This window comes from Homo sapiens, chromosome X (genome assembly GCF_000001405.40).
Source record: "Homo sapiens chromosome X, GRCh38.p14 Primary Assembly".
NCBI classification, from domain to species: Eukaryota; Metazoa; Chordata; class Mammalia; order Primates; family Hominidae; genus Homo; species Homo sapiens.
In genome coordinates, this window is record NC_000023.11 from 76,132,541 (window position 1) to 76,148,446 (window position 15,906).

The following is a 15,906-nucleotide window of genomic DNA, read 5'->3' on the forward strand; positions in this document are numbered from 1 at the left end:
ATTCTATAAGGCTACAGTAACTAAAACAGCATGGTACTGGTACAAGAACAGACAGACAGACCAATGGAACAGAATGGAGAACTCAGAAATAAGACTGCACACCTACAACCATCTGTTCTTTGACAAACCTGACAAAAGCAATGGAGGAAATATTGCCTATTTAATAAATGGTGCTGGGAGAACTAGCTAGCCATATGCAGAAAATTTAAACTGGACCCCTTCCTTACATCATATACATAAATTAACTCAAGATAGATTAAAGACTTAGATGTAAAACACAAAACTATAAAAAACCTAGAAGAAAATCTAGGCAATACCATTCAGGACATAGGAACAAGCAAAGATTTCATAATAAAAATGCCAAAAGCAATTGTAACAAAAGCAAAAATTGGCAAATGAGATCTAATTAAACTAAAGAACTGCTGCACAGCAAAAGAAACTGTCATCAGAAAGAACAGACAGCCTACAGAATGGAAGAAAATTTGTGCAATCTATGCACCTGACCAAGGTCTAATATCCAGAGTCTACAAGGAACTTAAACAAATTTACAAAGAAAAAAATTAAAAAGTGGGCAAAGGACATGAACAGACACTTCTCAAAACATACATGTGGCCAAGAATCGTGGAAAAAAAGCTCAACATCACTGATCATTAGAGAAATGCAAGTCAAAAACGAGATACCATCTCATGCCAGTCAGAATGGTGACTATTAAAAAGTCAAAAGCAACAGATGCTGGCGAGGTTGTGGAGAAAAAGGAACACTTTTACACTGTTGGTGGGAGCGTAAAGTAGTTCAACCATTGGGGAAGACAGAGTGTGGCAATTCCTCAAAGACAGAGAGGCAGAAATACCATTTGACCCAGCAATATCATTACTAGCTATATACCCAAATGAATATAAATCATTCTATTACAAAGATACATGTGCACGTATGTTTATTGCAGCACTATTCACAAGAGTAATACATGGAATCAACCCCATTGCCCATCAGTGATAGACTGGATAAAGAAAATGTGCTACATATATACACCATGGAATACTATGCATCCATAAAAAGGAAGGAGATCATGTCCTTTGCAGTGACATGGATGGAATTGGAAGTCACTATCCCCAGCAAACTAATCCTGGAACAGAAAACCAAACACTGTATGTTTTCATTTTTAAGTGGGAGCTGAATGATGAGAACACGTGGACACATGGGTTGGGGGGAAATACACATCTGGTCTGTCAGAGGGGGTGTGAAGGGAGGGAGAGCATCAGGAAGAATAGCTAATGGATGCTGGGCTTAATACCTAGGTGATGGGATGATCTTTGCAGCAAACCACTGTGGCACACGTTTACCTATGTAACAAACCTGCACATAAGGCACATGTACCCCTAAACTTAAAATAAAAGTTGAAGGAAAAAAGAAAAGAGAAACAAAAAGACCCCAAAAGCAAATGCAACAAAAAGAAAAATAAATAAATGGGACCTAAATTAAACTAAAAACTTTTGCACTACAAAAGAAATAATCATCAGAGTAAACAGACAACCCACTGAATAGCAGAAAATATTTGCAAACTATGCATCCAACAAAGGACTGATATCTAAAATCCACAAGGAACCCACACAAATCAGCAAGAAAAAAAAACCCAAATAATCCCATCAAAAAGTGGGCAAATGACACAAATAGACACTTCTATAAAGAAGATATACAAATCACCAATAAACATATAAAAATGTTCAACATCAGTAATCATCAGGGAAATGCAAATTAAAATCACAATTAGATACCACTTTACCCTAGGTACACTGAATATTACTAAAAAGTCAACAAACAATAGCTGTTGGCATGGATATGGTGAAAAGTGAACACTTTTACACTGTTGGTGGGGACGGAAATAGAGGTTGTTAGTACAACGTCTATGGAAAATAGTACGGAGATTTCTCAAAGAACTAAAAGTAGATCTAACATTCGATCCAGCAATCCCACTACTGGGTATCTATCCAAAAGAAAAGAAGTCATTATATCAAAAAGACACTTGCACATGTATGTTTATCACAGCACAAATCACAGTTGAAAACATATGGAACCAACCTAAGTGCCCATTAACTGATGAGTGAATAAAGAAAATGTGGTATGTATACACACACACAAACACACAGACGATGGAATACTACTCAACCATAAAAAAAATGTATTTTCAGCAACATGGATGGAGCTGGAGGCCATTATTCTGAATGAAGTAACTCAGGAATGGAAAGCCAAATACCTTATGTTCTCAATTATAAGTGGATACTAAGCTATGGGTATGCAAAGGCAGACAGAGTAGTATAATGGACACTGGAGACTCAGAAGCAGAGAGGGTGGGAAGGTGTGGGGAATAAAAAGCTACATATTGGGTACAATGTACACTACTCAGATGTTAGGTGCACTAAAATCAGACTTCACCACTATACAATTCATCCTTGTAACCAAAAACCACTTGTGCCCCAAAAGCTATTGAAATAATATATATTTATACATAATAAAATTCAAAAATTATCCCAGAACAGTATTTCTAAAGGTTGCCAAATAATTCACCTGCCAAAGATCCATATCTTATCATTTATTTACTCACTGTCTTATCACACATTTAGCTCTTCGTATTTCATTACCATTAATAAAGTACAATGACTATCATCTTTGTACATAATGATTTGGGAATGTACGTTAGTTGGTAAGATTATACAATAAGGATATCAATTTTGTATCATGTATATTGTAAAGTTTTCCAACTTTATCATTGTCTGTTTATTTATTTATTTATTTATTTATTTATATTTTTGAGACGGAGTCTTGCTATGTCACCCAGACTGGAGAGAAGTGGCGCGATCTCGGCTCACTGCAAGCTCTGCCTCCTGGGTTCACGCCATTCTGCTGCCTCAGCCTCCCCAGCAGCTGGGACTACAGGCGCACACCGTCAAGCCCGGCTATTTTTTTTGTATTTTTAGTAGAGACGGGGTTTCACCGTGTTAGCCAGGATGGTCTCGTTCTCCTGACCTCATGATCCGCTCGCCTCGGCCTCCCAAAGTGCTGGGATTACAGGCGTGAGCCACCGCCCCGGGCTGATTGTCTTTTTAAAATAAAACTTACCGAAAAGGTAATATATTTCATGTATCAAAAACCAAATAGAAGAAGCATAAAGTATCTATTCCAGCTTAATCTCCCATCTCCCCAGTTCCCACCTTCTCCACCCACACAGTTAACTATTTTTATTCATTTCTTCTGTAAACTTTGTGTGTGTTTACATAAGGAGATAGCCCCCACCCACTTTTTCATATAATTTGTAGCATACAATATACACTTTTTGTTTCTTTTCTTTTCTTTCTTTCTTTTTTTTTTTTTTTTTTTTAAGATGGAGTTTCCCTCTTGTTGCCCAGGCTGCAGTGCAGCGGAGCGATCTCGGCTCACCGCAATCTCTGCCTCCCGGGTTCAAGTGATTCGCCTCCCTCAGCCTCCCGATTAGCTGGGATTACAGGCATGCGCCACTATGCCTGGCTAATTTTGTATTTCTTTTTTTAGTAGAGACGGGGTTTCACCATGTTGGTTAGGCTGGTCTTGAACTCCCGACCTCAGGTGATCCACCCGCCTCGGCCTCCCAAAATACTGGGATTACAGGAGTGAGCCACAGCACTAGGCACAATATACACTTTTTAAGTCACTTAAAATATATCTCACTGGTCTTTCCATGTCAGTACATTGAACACTTCCTTGTTATTTTTTGTAGCTTCATTGTATGGTTGTACCATAATTTATTTAATGTGTTGCTCTGATGATAGACATTAAGGTTTTGCTCTTACAAACAATGCTTCAGTAAACAACCTGGCACATATTTTTTTAAAATATATACAAATACCGGCATGTCTGTGGGATAAATTTCCAGAGGTTAATTTGTTTTGTTAGAGCCTTATGCATTCATAAGTTGATAGACGCCCTAAATTGCCTTCAACATGTGTGCCAAATTATACTGTCACCAACAATGTGTCAAAATTTCCCATAGCCTTGCTAACAGTATTTTATCAATTTTTTGGGTGAATTTTTTTGTAATTACAATTGGTGAAAAAATAGTCACATATCTTTGATTTTTAGTAATGGGTTTCCAGCTTAAAATGGTCTTTAATAAGCAGTACTTGATGTTGCCTTTCTTGGCTTCTGACTAATATACAAAAGAAGATCCAGAAGAGGAGGAAAGCTTGCAGTAACTCTGAAAAGTAAGACTGAGAATGAACCCATTGCCAGAATATATGAAACATTCCCATAAATTCTAAATTGAGTGATGTAGTACCCAATTATTGAATACTCACTATATGTGGAGGAACGTATATCTGTCTGTGTACACACACACACACACACACACACACTTCATCATTTCTCCCTTGGAACTCTTCATAATGATCCTGTGAGGATGTGAAATTATGAGCCATATTTGACAAGTGAAGAAACTTTGTCTTGGAAAACTGAAGTGACTGACTTGCCTAAGGCCATGTAATAAGAGGCACATCTGAGGTTCAAACACAGGCATGCCAGACTCCAAACTATAATAGAACTCTTTTCAGTATTTCACATGCTTTATCCCTCTCACACTTTGATTCCTGGCTCAGCAACAGAAAAGTTATACCAGTCAGAAAATTTGCCATCTCCCTCAAAACTTTATTAGCACTGATATCTGAGGTAGTTCAAAACACCTTTCCTTTTTCTATTCCTTCCCACAGATAGTATCTTCCTTTCTATGTCAATAAAGAAACTAGAAGTTGGAAACTCAAAGTGTATGTGCAAGATAGGAGGCTAGATGTAGAAGTGACAATAGGGTTGCAGCTGGCAGCCCATTGCATTCTGGCAAGTGGAGAAGATAACCCAATATAATAATAATGGTTAATATAGATTGAGCTTTTACAGTGGTCAGGGACTTCGCTAAGTGTTTTCCAGGCATTAGTTTATTACAGCAGATTCTTGGGGTAGGTAATATTATTATTCCCTCATTCTAGATGAGGAAATGGAAGCTTGAATAAGTGAAATTACTTGCTGGGATGTTTGTAAAAAGATCTTTGCTCTGGAAGTCAGGAGGCTTCTGTGATACTGCTGCTAGTTTACTTTATAATTTTGTATAAGTGGCTGTCCCTTTCCTTGCTTCAGTGTCTGAACCTGGAATTTTTTATGCGGTTTTTGAGACTCTAAGTTCATTGGGGTGGAATTTGGAAGGGTGGTCAAGCATGAATAGGACTAGAAGGGAACACAAATATTTTTTGCTCAAGACATTAGTCTCAGCTGTACCTCCATATGTCTTTTCCCTGCTTTACCCCTTCCTACTTGTTCTCTTGCTCATGGCACTCATTCTCTTCCCTAGTTGTAGATTTAAGTTAAGTCCAGTAGGAACTTGACACACTCAGAAAATGGATGAAAACCCAAGGGGATGCTACTTTTGGGACCATTGTCTGAGCTTTTTTGGGTTACTGCCACCTGTCACAGTTTAAGAGATGTGGAGAGCCACTCATGGCTGTCAGAGGCTGTGTCAAGGAAACAATATTCTGGTAATGATTTTTATTTACCATGAGGGTTTGGTTTCCTCTTCTGGTGTCTACTTGGACTTCCCTAAGAATTAGTTACCTTGGTTCTTGGGCTTGGCATCAGCCCACAGAGCATGGAGCCAATCAAGTACCATAAGTCCTGCAGAGATTTAAATTTCCTGGTGGCAGCATTTCTGGCACAGGCTTATGTTTTCCTATGGTTACTTAAGCCCTTTATTAATGCACTCTGAGTTTCTCTCATGGTTTGGCTCCTCAAGAAGTCAGGCAGTAGCGTTCAAGGTATGGGGAAGGTATCAGGTCAAGACAGAAATATTTGGCAGCTTTAGGGATTTTCTGTTTCCACTCTTAAGGTGTGCCCTGAATAAGAGCTGTAGAAGAGTCATCTGGGGCTGACTTCTTTGAGGCCCCAAAGAGTCTGGCCTGGGCTTCAAGGAATCTGAGTCCTAGGGTATGCTCAGCCACGAACTCCCTGGGTGACCTTAGGCAGACAAATTCATTTCCCTGAATCTCTGTTTCCTCAAACATCTTCCATCTCAAACATTCTATAATTCATGAAAGCTGAATAGTACTGGAAATTCTTCTGCTCAGTATGATAATGATTTGAGCAGAGAAATGAACAGGCTGGGTAAAGTGTGACCTTCCCAGGGTACATAAAATGTTTTTCCAATTAAATGAACATTTCCTAAATCAGTTCCCAATTAGTGGAGCCAGTGTGTGTTAGCCTTGTGATGGGGCTGCATAAATAGCAATTCAGAATCCAGGAAGAAAGTGGCCAATAGGCCCACTCTGCTTCTTACCTGTCATAGCAAAAAAGGAGTATGGTGCTCAGAGCCGATCATCACATTTTAGAGAGGACACCATGAGGCTGGAGCTATTTCAGGGCCGTAGCTAAGGTGATGAGGGAACTCTGAACTGTGTCATATGAGGAAGAGCAGAATGGCCTGGGGATAAGTAACCAAGAGAAGACCTCCAGCAACATCTTGGCCCCTGGTTTTGGCTCCTATGGGGAAGAGGGTGTATTAGTTTGTTTTCTGTTGCCTATCAAAGAATGCCTGAAACTGGATAATTTATAAAGAGAAGGAATTTATCTCCTACAATTATAGAGGCTGAGAAGTCCAAGTTTGGGGGCTGTATCTGGTGAGGGCCTTCTTGCTGGTGGGGACTCTCTGCAGAGTCCTGAGGTAGCATTAATAAAGGGCATAAGGAACTCCAGAAAAACATCACATGGTGAGAGGGCTGAGTGTGCTTGCTCAGGTCTCTCATCCTCTTCTTATAAAGCTACCAGGTCCACTGCCATGACGATCCATTAATCCATTAATCCATGAATGGATTGATCCATACATAAGGGCAAAGCCCTCATAACCCAAACACTTCTTAAAGGCCCTATCTTTCCATACTGCCACATTGAAGATTAAGGTATAACACATACAATTTTGGGGACACATTCAAACCATAACAGAGGTGTGTTGTGGGGAAAATGGAGTGACTTCAAACCTGACCCAATAGCTATACTGCAGGTTCAGTAAATAGATGCTACCAAGGGACAGATTTCACACCAAAGTTCAGGAAAAATTTCAGAGTAAAATCAGTTTTATGTGGAATTAGATGGTTATAGATCTATAAACCAGAAGAAGATAATCTGAATTTCAGCTGGAGGAAATTTTGGACAAAAGCCTGGATCTGTTTAAGGGCACGGTCCTTGCACTGTTTGACCTCTAGGGAGAAATACAACTGAATTTGTACAAATGATGGGTGCACCAGGTAGCAGATGAGAGTGTTTTGACAAAGTGAGCTACTTAACCATGTATGGGAGTGCTAATGCATCTCTCTCTTAAGTATGTGTGAAAGCCCTAATGAAACTTCAATAAATACTCCTGAGACTTCATTGGGAGAATAGAGATGGAGGTCTTGAAATATTGCATGGGAGTGAAATAAGAGAGATATTACATTTTCAGGGACCTCTCCAAAATTCCAATAATATAAACTTTTATGTTTAACTTATGGGTTTAATTAATCTCCACATCTCAAATATCATTAATTCTGGAATAGAGCAAGGCATGTCACTTTACAGTTAATACAAAAGTGCCTGTCAAATCACATCAAATAGAAAATCCCAAATTATTGTGTCTCAGTGATATTCAGCATTGTTATGACATACAATAATCCCTCAGGCTACTTAGGTAGTCCTTTCACCAGAAATACATATCACAAGCATGTCCTTGTGGATCTTATTTAGTGTGGCTGCCATTAGTTTTGTGTCCAACACATAAAACCTATGTGTGACCTTTCCAGCCTAGATGAATAGAACACTTACTGACATATTGCTGATCTGCTTGACTTCTATGAAAGGCCTTCTTGGGAGACTCTGGAGTTTTTAGTTGAGCTGTTCTACACATGGGCCTGGGTTTTGCCCATGTTCACCTCAGCTTTCCTCTAAGCAGAACATAATGATCACAGTTTCCACATAGGGAATACCCTGGGGAAGGAACACATCTTCTAGGACCTGGGACTCAGGATACTGAGACAGACTCTTCACTCAGATGCCTAGAACATAGGAGATGGCAAACTTAACAGGCTGAAATAAGGCAGCCTACATTTTTTAGTATAACCTCGTTCTTCATCTGTTAAAACTTCTTTAGGCTGCAGTGACCAAATGTATGGTCATTGACCTGCAGGCCTGTATTAGACAGTTCAGGCTGCTATAACAAAGCAAAGTGGGTGGTTTATAAGAAACAGACATTTATTTCTCACAGTTCTGGAGGCTAGAAGTCCAAGACCAGTGTTTTGATGAAGATCCTCTTTCAGGTTGCAGAGTGCTGATTTCTCATTGTATACTCACATGGTTGAAAGAGAGAGAGCATGCCACCCTCATGACCTAAATTTACCTCCCAAAGACTCCACCTACAAATGCCGTTAGACTGAGAATTAGATTTTAGCATATAAATGTTGATGGAATATAAAAATTCAGTCCAAAACAAAACCTCCCCAAAGTATTGCTGCTGAGTCACTTAGAAAACCTTTGTCTGAGTTCACCTTTTTTATTCTTTTTGCAAACTGGGTAGTAATTTGGAATGTTGTAGAGAGATGCATATTAGTTCTTGCCCAGAGCTAAGGTGTGAGATGGATCGCCCAAACTAAAAGAAGAATTTAGAATAAAAGCAAGATGCTCAAGTACTTCAAGTTCATGAGCCACATATTTCAGAAAAAAAATTCCAAGGTAATTCCAATACAAAGTGAAATCTACACCACATGTGAATCAGGAGACATGCAGCTAAATTCCAGAACGAGTTTAATGATGATGGAGGGCAAGGCAAAGATAAGCTGTACCTTGACTGATTAGGCTGATAAATCAGGCTTGTCTTGAATAACAAAGCTAAAGGACAGAAAATGAGAAAGAAACATACCTGAAGTGATTTAAAGCCAGGATGTGATATAAAACTATTTACATACACGTATTGCTAAACTGAATAGGAGACACTTCCCAGGTAGTAAAAGGGTGGAGAAGAAAGTATTTATAAGTCAAATGACCTCTTTGTTTTTGATACAGTAGTTGGTGCCTACTAGGACTTGCTCTGGATATAAATAAATAAGAAGGCAAAAATTGAGAGGGTTGAGTCAAGCTGATCAGGCTAGAGAAAGATGCAAGAAAAGTTTCACAGATTCTCATTAATACAAGACATGTAAGATGAAAATAAACAAAGATAATCATTTTTGTGAAAAGACTCAGTAGATAACCTCACAGCTTCTTTTTCCGGCAGAGAATATGGATGTGCTAGGATTGAAGGCACTTGTCATCACCAATCTAATGGGCTCAACTGGGACAAGTGATTGCATTTTTCTTCTCAAATGGTGGGCTACATAACAAGAATTTAGCATTAGACAGGTATGCCAGTGTTGCTGCTAGTGGAAAGTGCACCAATATACATGCTACTCCAGGATAAGGTTGGCAGATATGCTTTGGTCAAACACTGGCATGCACAAGGGACGAACAAACAAACGTAGACAGCCGTCATATCTTGCCATCAAGAACAAGATTTAAGAAAAGACCTGTGGCCGTGGTCATGTATGATGTAGCTCAATCACCCCAGAAACAGAAGATGTTATTAAAAGTATAAGCTGATTCCAGTTTGGCTCTGGCAGAGTGAGGGCAGAAGAGAGGACAACATGTTGGAGGGGAAGCCAGAGAGTTAACCAGAGATTAAATCCTGTTGGCTCTTACCGGACAAGGACTGGGCTTTTACTCTGAGTGAGATCAGAAGCCATTGCTGGGCTGGGACCGGAGGAGATACACAGCTCACAAAACACATCAATACAGAGAATTCAAACTTCTGAAAAACATATTGGATGAAGAAATGAAGTCCAAATTAAAATGAGGAAGTCCAGTCAGATGACGAACTTGAACACAAAGAGCAAGCCATTGAGCACTAGTTGGCCACAGATGTGGATTTAAGTTTTCTAGCTGCCAAAATGTAAAGAGGGAAACACGATCCTCTGCAGGACTCAACAGTATCCCTGAGATCGAATCTGACAAACTGCTCAGAAGGGGCACCTATGCTTTTCCCTGAGATGAATGTCTCCCATCGTCAGATGTCAGATTCTGGATCTATTTTGACAAGAGAGCTCAAAGGATTTCTTCACAGATGGAAATGAGGGGTGAGTAAAACAGTGGCGTGAAGGATCACCCTCAAGTCTATAGCATGAACAATTGGAAGGATAAGAGTGGCCTTAACTGTGAGGGGTGGGGCGAGGGGGGACGCTGCAGTGGGAGGAGGTTTCTAGGGGAAGATGGGAGAGTTCGATTTTTGACTTGTTAATTTGGGTTGACTCTCAGGCAATTTTCTCAGCGAATTAGAAAGGAAGGTCAGAGGCTGAATGTGAGGAGTCGGGAGGCAGTGTTGGAGGCTTGCAGAGAGAAAATAAGTTGTGAAATAGAAGGGTGAACGGAGACGAAGGCTTGAGAGAAATGAGTAGTTGGAAGATTTGGACTACAAACCTGGCAGAAAGATGTTTTGGTTTAAATGGATAGGGACCCTGGGTGTTTCCAGATCAGACAATGTTCATTCTTTATGATCCAGCCAGAAAACTGTGGCTTTTGCTAGCCTTTCCCACCTCTGAACACAGGTTTCCCCTTGCTGGTGAGGGTGGCGTGGAGAGATCCGAGTGAGGAAATAAGTTGTCAGTGTTTACGCTTATTTCTTCAGTCATGCTGAAGAGGCGGATAGGCCTAATACATAATAGGATAGAACACAATCCACCCGGACTTCCGCCTTATGCACAACTGCACTTTCAGTTTTGCTCAGAGAGATAGAGCTCACACAATTAGGTAATTGGGCCCAAATCTGAAAGTGAGAAACAGGCCAGAAAGGACACTCAGAGGATGAAAAGGGAAACCAGTAAGCCCCACTGTTTTATACACCGTTGTCATCATGGTTTTAACTTCATGCTGAGACATAGAATTCCTTAAACTATCACAGCCCTGGTCACTTGTGCCAATTCTACAAGGCCTCCAAAACCGCATAGGAGATACTGCACCGTGGGCCCATTCCAAACACTTATTCAGAATTAAAATTCCACTGGCTTTCCATTGATAGCACTAGAGGTCTGTCTGTGACACGCTGCTCCATTACAGCAAAGCAAAGCCCCATAATGACCTAATCCAGAAGGATAAGATCCCAGGACCCATAGAACAAGGAGGCCAGAGGGAAGGCAGGCCACAAAGAAGAAGGAAACCAGACTTCCCCATCCCTCTGGGCTCCTGGGGGGGTCAGTGGAAAAAGGCCTTTAACCTAAGTGCTCAAGGCCCTAACCTAACAGCTTTTGTTTTTCACGCTGGAGCGCTGGCACTTCCTGACCCCGCTTAGTCCTTCTATTAGAATTTTGTACTCTGATGCTAGTTTTCAGAGTATAGGAGCAACTGCAGGGAATGAAGCAGCAGACCTATCAATATTTTGTGGTGATCTAAGTCTCTGTTAATAAGCCTGAGACAAGGCAAAACCAGGAAGAAGCCTTGACCCTTATCAAGGTCATCAAAGCCATACAGGACCCTTCCTAATGTCTTCAACTGTCATTTTTGAAAGAAGCCGAGTCTGACCACCAAGTATAAATGGGTATAACATCCACCGCATTTCTTTGTCATATTGTTACAGGAAAGGGGTCTTGATCCAGACCCCAAGAGAGGGTTCTTGGATCTCGCGCAAGAAATAATTCAGGGCGAGTTCACAGTGCAAAGCAAAAGCAAGTTTATTGAGAAAGCACAGTGGTGAAAGGGCAGCTACTCCATAGACAGAGTAGGACGTTCCCAAAAGTAAGAGGAGGAATGCGTCCACCCTAGGTACAATGCTTGTTATATGAGGAGATGTGCTCTGCTACAAGGGTTTGTGATAGAGGATTAATTTTCTTAATTACTATGTTTTGCAAGAATCAGTGTTGTTATCTTTAAGGCAAAATTAGGAATGCCTTTCTTCTCCAGATATCGGAATATCTGGACACTCCCAAGTCTGGGTCTGTTTAGTAAACGTTATTAATTTGTTCCCTTAACCGTAAACATCTAGAGGCTGGGAATACCTAACTTTCTGGGAATGCAGCCCAGCAAGCCTCAGCTTCATTTTCCTAGCCCTCACTCGGAATGGAGTCGCTCTGGTTCAAACGCCTCTGACAATATCACCCCGTTTTATTTTCTATCACTTACCACTATCTGAAATTAAGTAGATAATTTGTTTACTCTCTGTCCCCACCCACTAGAATGAGAACGCGGCCCTTGCATCCTTACGTGTGTCTGGCATATAAGGGGTGCTCAATGATTATTTGTTTCATGGATGAACAGATTTATGGATGGCTGGGTGGATGACGATCTTAGAAGGGGTTCCAGGGCTAGCTGGCTTTCTGTTTCTCCCACTCAAGCACCCAAGCCCTGACCCACAAAGTAAAGGAACAGGCGAAACTTCTCGCCAAATAGCTTCAAGGCAGAAACTACGCAGCTGGCTTGGGAATTCCGTACAACGCGAACGCGCATGCACAGGCAGGACTGAGCGTGTCCATCTTCGCATTACTCCCGGAGATGACTCTCGGAAACGGTCCGAGGACTAACGTCTTTCTCTTCCTCGCCCTCATTCCTCCCAGTAACGTCCGCTACAAAAGAAACCGTGCACAAAATAAACTCGGGCGGCGGGTAGAAAGGAGACAGCCGAATTCCCTACACCCATGATCAACACGCCCACACCTCCCATCAGGCACGGCGCTCCCGCCTCCCCGAAGAGGCGGTGGAACGTGGTGGTGGGGGGGGTGCTGGGGGAGGGCTGGCGGGGGGAGGGCCGGGGGAAGGAGCGGGGCGGGAACGTCCTTCTGCTACTGCTATGGCTTCCGGGGCAGCACTTCGGCAGACCGCCCGCCTCCCAGTTGCAAATCGACTTCCGGGGCACCCCCACCGGCTGCCCGGTGGGTTCTCTGCTCGAACTTCTGGCGCTTTTCCCTTCCCGTTTATCTTGTTCAGGTCCCTCAGTGGACTGCTCCAGATCTAAAGAGCAGAAATTGGGCCGCAAAGAGAACGTCCTCCCAGACTTTCTCCGTCGCGGTGAAATTATGCCCGTTTGGTGGCAGTATGTATTCACAGATGCGTGCAGCTCTGCTCTTACCCCGCCCTTCGCGTTTAGAAAAAAAGCGCCGTTCCTCAGAGTCAAAACAAAGTTTCTTTCCGCTGTAGAGGCACAGCTTTTAGGGTGGCCTACTAACTCCCGCTTTTTCTTTTCTGAAATCTCTGTGCCAATCTGATGGACAGAAGAGCGACAAAAAATATTTTTAACGTGAGATTCTTTGTTGACTAGCCTGCTTGTAAACTTTCTGACATATGCCTTTTTTTTTTTTTTTTTTTCCATAGGGCTGTGAACCCCTGATATCTGAGAGGTGTCTCAGTCAATTTAGAAAGTTTATTTTGCCAACGTTAAGGACGCGCCCATGACAGCCTGAGGAGGTCCTGACGACACGTGCCCAAGGTGGTCAGGGCACAGCCTGCTTCCATACATTTTAGGGAGACATGAAACATCAATATGTAAGATGTATACTGGTTCGGTCTCTAAAGGTGGGACAACTTGAATTGGTGAGGTGACTAGGAAGGTCATAGGTAGATAAAGACACACTGGTTGCATTCGAGTTTCTGATTAGCTTTCCATATTTTTTAAATTGAAAAATACCCAGTTAATGTCATAACTTATCTTACTATAACTTCAGAATCTAAATTATAACAAGTTTTGTCTAAAAGCATTTATCTCATTACATTTACCTACTTTTTCTAATAGTTTACCTAGATTATTTATGAAACTGCGATAGTCATTTTATTTCCTTTTCAACCATTTTATAGCCTGTGAATTTCAGGTGTTTACCTAAGTAAAAGCCTTAAGATTAAATATATGGTTATTTTACTGAATAATTGGATATTTAGCGATTTTCATTAATCCAATATTAATTTTTTTATCAAAAATTATACAAGCAAAAATTCTGTTTTTGCCGGATTTATAGTTTTGTAACCCGCATGCCAAATTTTTTTTTTAATTATTAAAGGTTCAGGGTACATGTGCACAATGTGCAGGTTAGTTACATATGTGTATACATGTGCCATGCTGGTGTGCTGCACCCATTAACTCGTCATTTAGCATTAGGTATATCTCCTAATGCTGTCCCTCCCCCCTCCCCCCTTCCCCCACCCCACAACAGTCCCCAGAGTGTGATGTTCCCCTTCCTGTGTCCATGTGTTCTCATTGTTCAATTCCCATCTATGAGTGAGAACATGCGGTGTTTGGTTTTTTGTCCTTGCGATAGTTTACTGAGAATGATGATTTCCAATTTCATCCATGTCCCTACAAAGGACATGAACTCATCATTTTTTATGGTTGCATGGTATTCCATGGTGTATATGTGCCACATTTTGATAAGTATGAAATTGCTTGATTAATAAATGCAAAAATGTATGCTGGCAATTTTTAAGAAATTTCTGTTATTAGTTTACCAATAATTTTTAAGCAAGCATATGACAGATTTTACTTAAGTCATATAAAGATGAAAAGCATTTGGGCTAATTAATTTATGAGTACTTGTTAAGCCAGTGTGGTACCTTGTGGCCCAAAACACAACAAAATACGTGTACATACATATAAACACACACATACACACTTACACAGCTGTTCCCGGTCCAAACTGAGGGTCAGCCTACTTATTCCTGCTACCCGGTAATGAGATGCAGATGAACTGGGAAAGAAGAGAGTTTATATAAGCTCAGAAAACTTTGTAATTTTTACTTGGTCTGCCAATATTTTCGAGGCCTTCTCCCTGTGGAGAGACTGTCGTCAGACCAACTCAAAATTACAAAGTTTTCCAAAGCTTATATACCTTTTAAGCTATATGTTTACATATAACTTTGCATTCATCTAAAGACATAAGTTATTAACTTCTTTTAATCTACAACTAAGTTCTCAGTTTTGAAGACCTTCCTCTGGAGCCTCAGTAAATTTACTTAATCTAGATGGGTCCAGGTGCTTGGGGTGATTACCCTTATCTTGTCTGCTGTAAATCCATAGAGGTTTTAGAAGTTCCTTTAGACCACCAGTAAAACTTGTTTGTGGAGGTCTGGGGAGTTTCTTCAGACCTCCAATAAAAACTTGTTTAATCCCAAAGGGGTCCTGTTAAGAATTCCTTTATCTTGTCATGCTTCAAGGCCCAGGAGGACATAGGCAAAATTCTTGGTGGGCTTTTGTTAAATCCCAGCCTTTGTATAAGGGCACTGGCTCTTTCAGCTTTTAATATTTAACCAGTCAGTGCTGAAACAGTTGTTAAGGAGGCCTCCCTGTTCAGCTGTGAGACCTGCCCTGCCACACAACCAAAAATCCTATAGCTTTTACTTCAGAACTCTAGTCATGAGATATTAATACAAACTCATTGGTTTACAAAAACAATAACAAAATGAAATGGATGGATGCAAATGGTGGATTTTATCTCAGTAGAAATGTAACAGCAGACTTAATGCAGGCAAAAAAGAAAGCAGAGCCATACACAGAGAACTTAGGAACTTTATACTCACAGGTGGACCTTTGCGATCTGAATTTTCCTTGCCGTAATTGTGCAGAAAAGGACCACAGTATGTCAATTTTACACAAACATTCGCAAGAAGAGGCGCCATAAAACCAACAGAGTGCCTGAAAGGAGGTCATTCCTGTTTTTCCTCTTTCTTAGATTTATTTTTTGAAGGAAGGAACTTAGCTGTGGCCTAAGGTTTCAGTGGAGTGGGTCCAAGTATCCGGGTTGTGGGCAGGACTCCACAGTGTGTCACCACAGAGTAATTTCCACCTTATGTGTCTCATTTTCTCTCTCTGGA

General features: G+C 40.9%; 1 annotated feature.

Moving 5' to 3' along the window:
• Nucleotides 12,764-13,583: an enhancer, noted in NCBI's record as "H3K27ac hESC enhancer chrX:75365139-75365958 (GRCh37/hg19 assembly coordinates)". NCBI's record gives its function as "activates a minimal SCP1, AML or CMV promoter by ChIP-STARR-seq in naive and primed H9 embryonic stem cells {active_cell/tissue: H9 hESC(naive and primed)}" and the evidence as "EXISTENCE:reporter gene assay evidence [ECO:0000049][PMID:30033119]".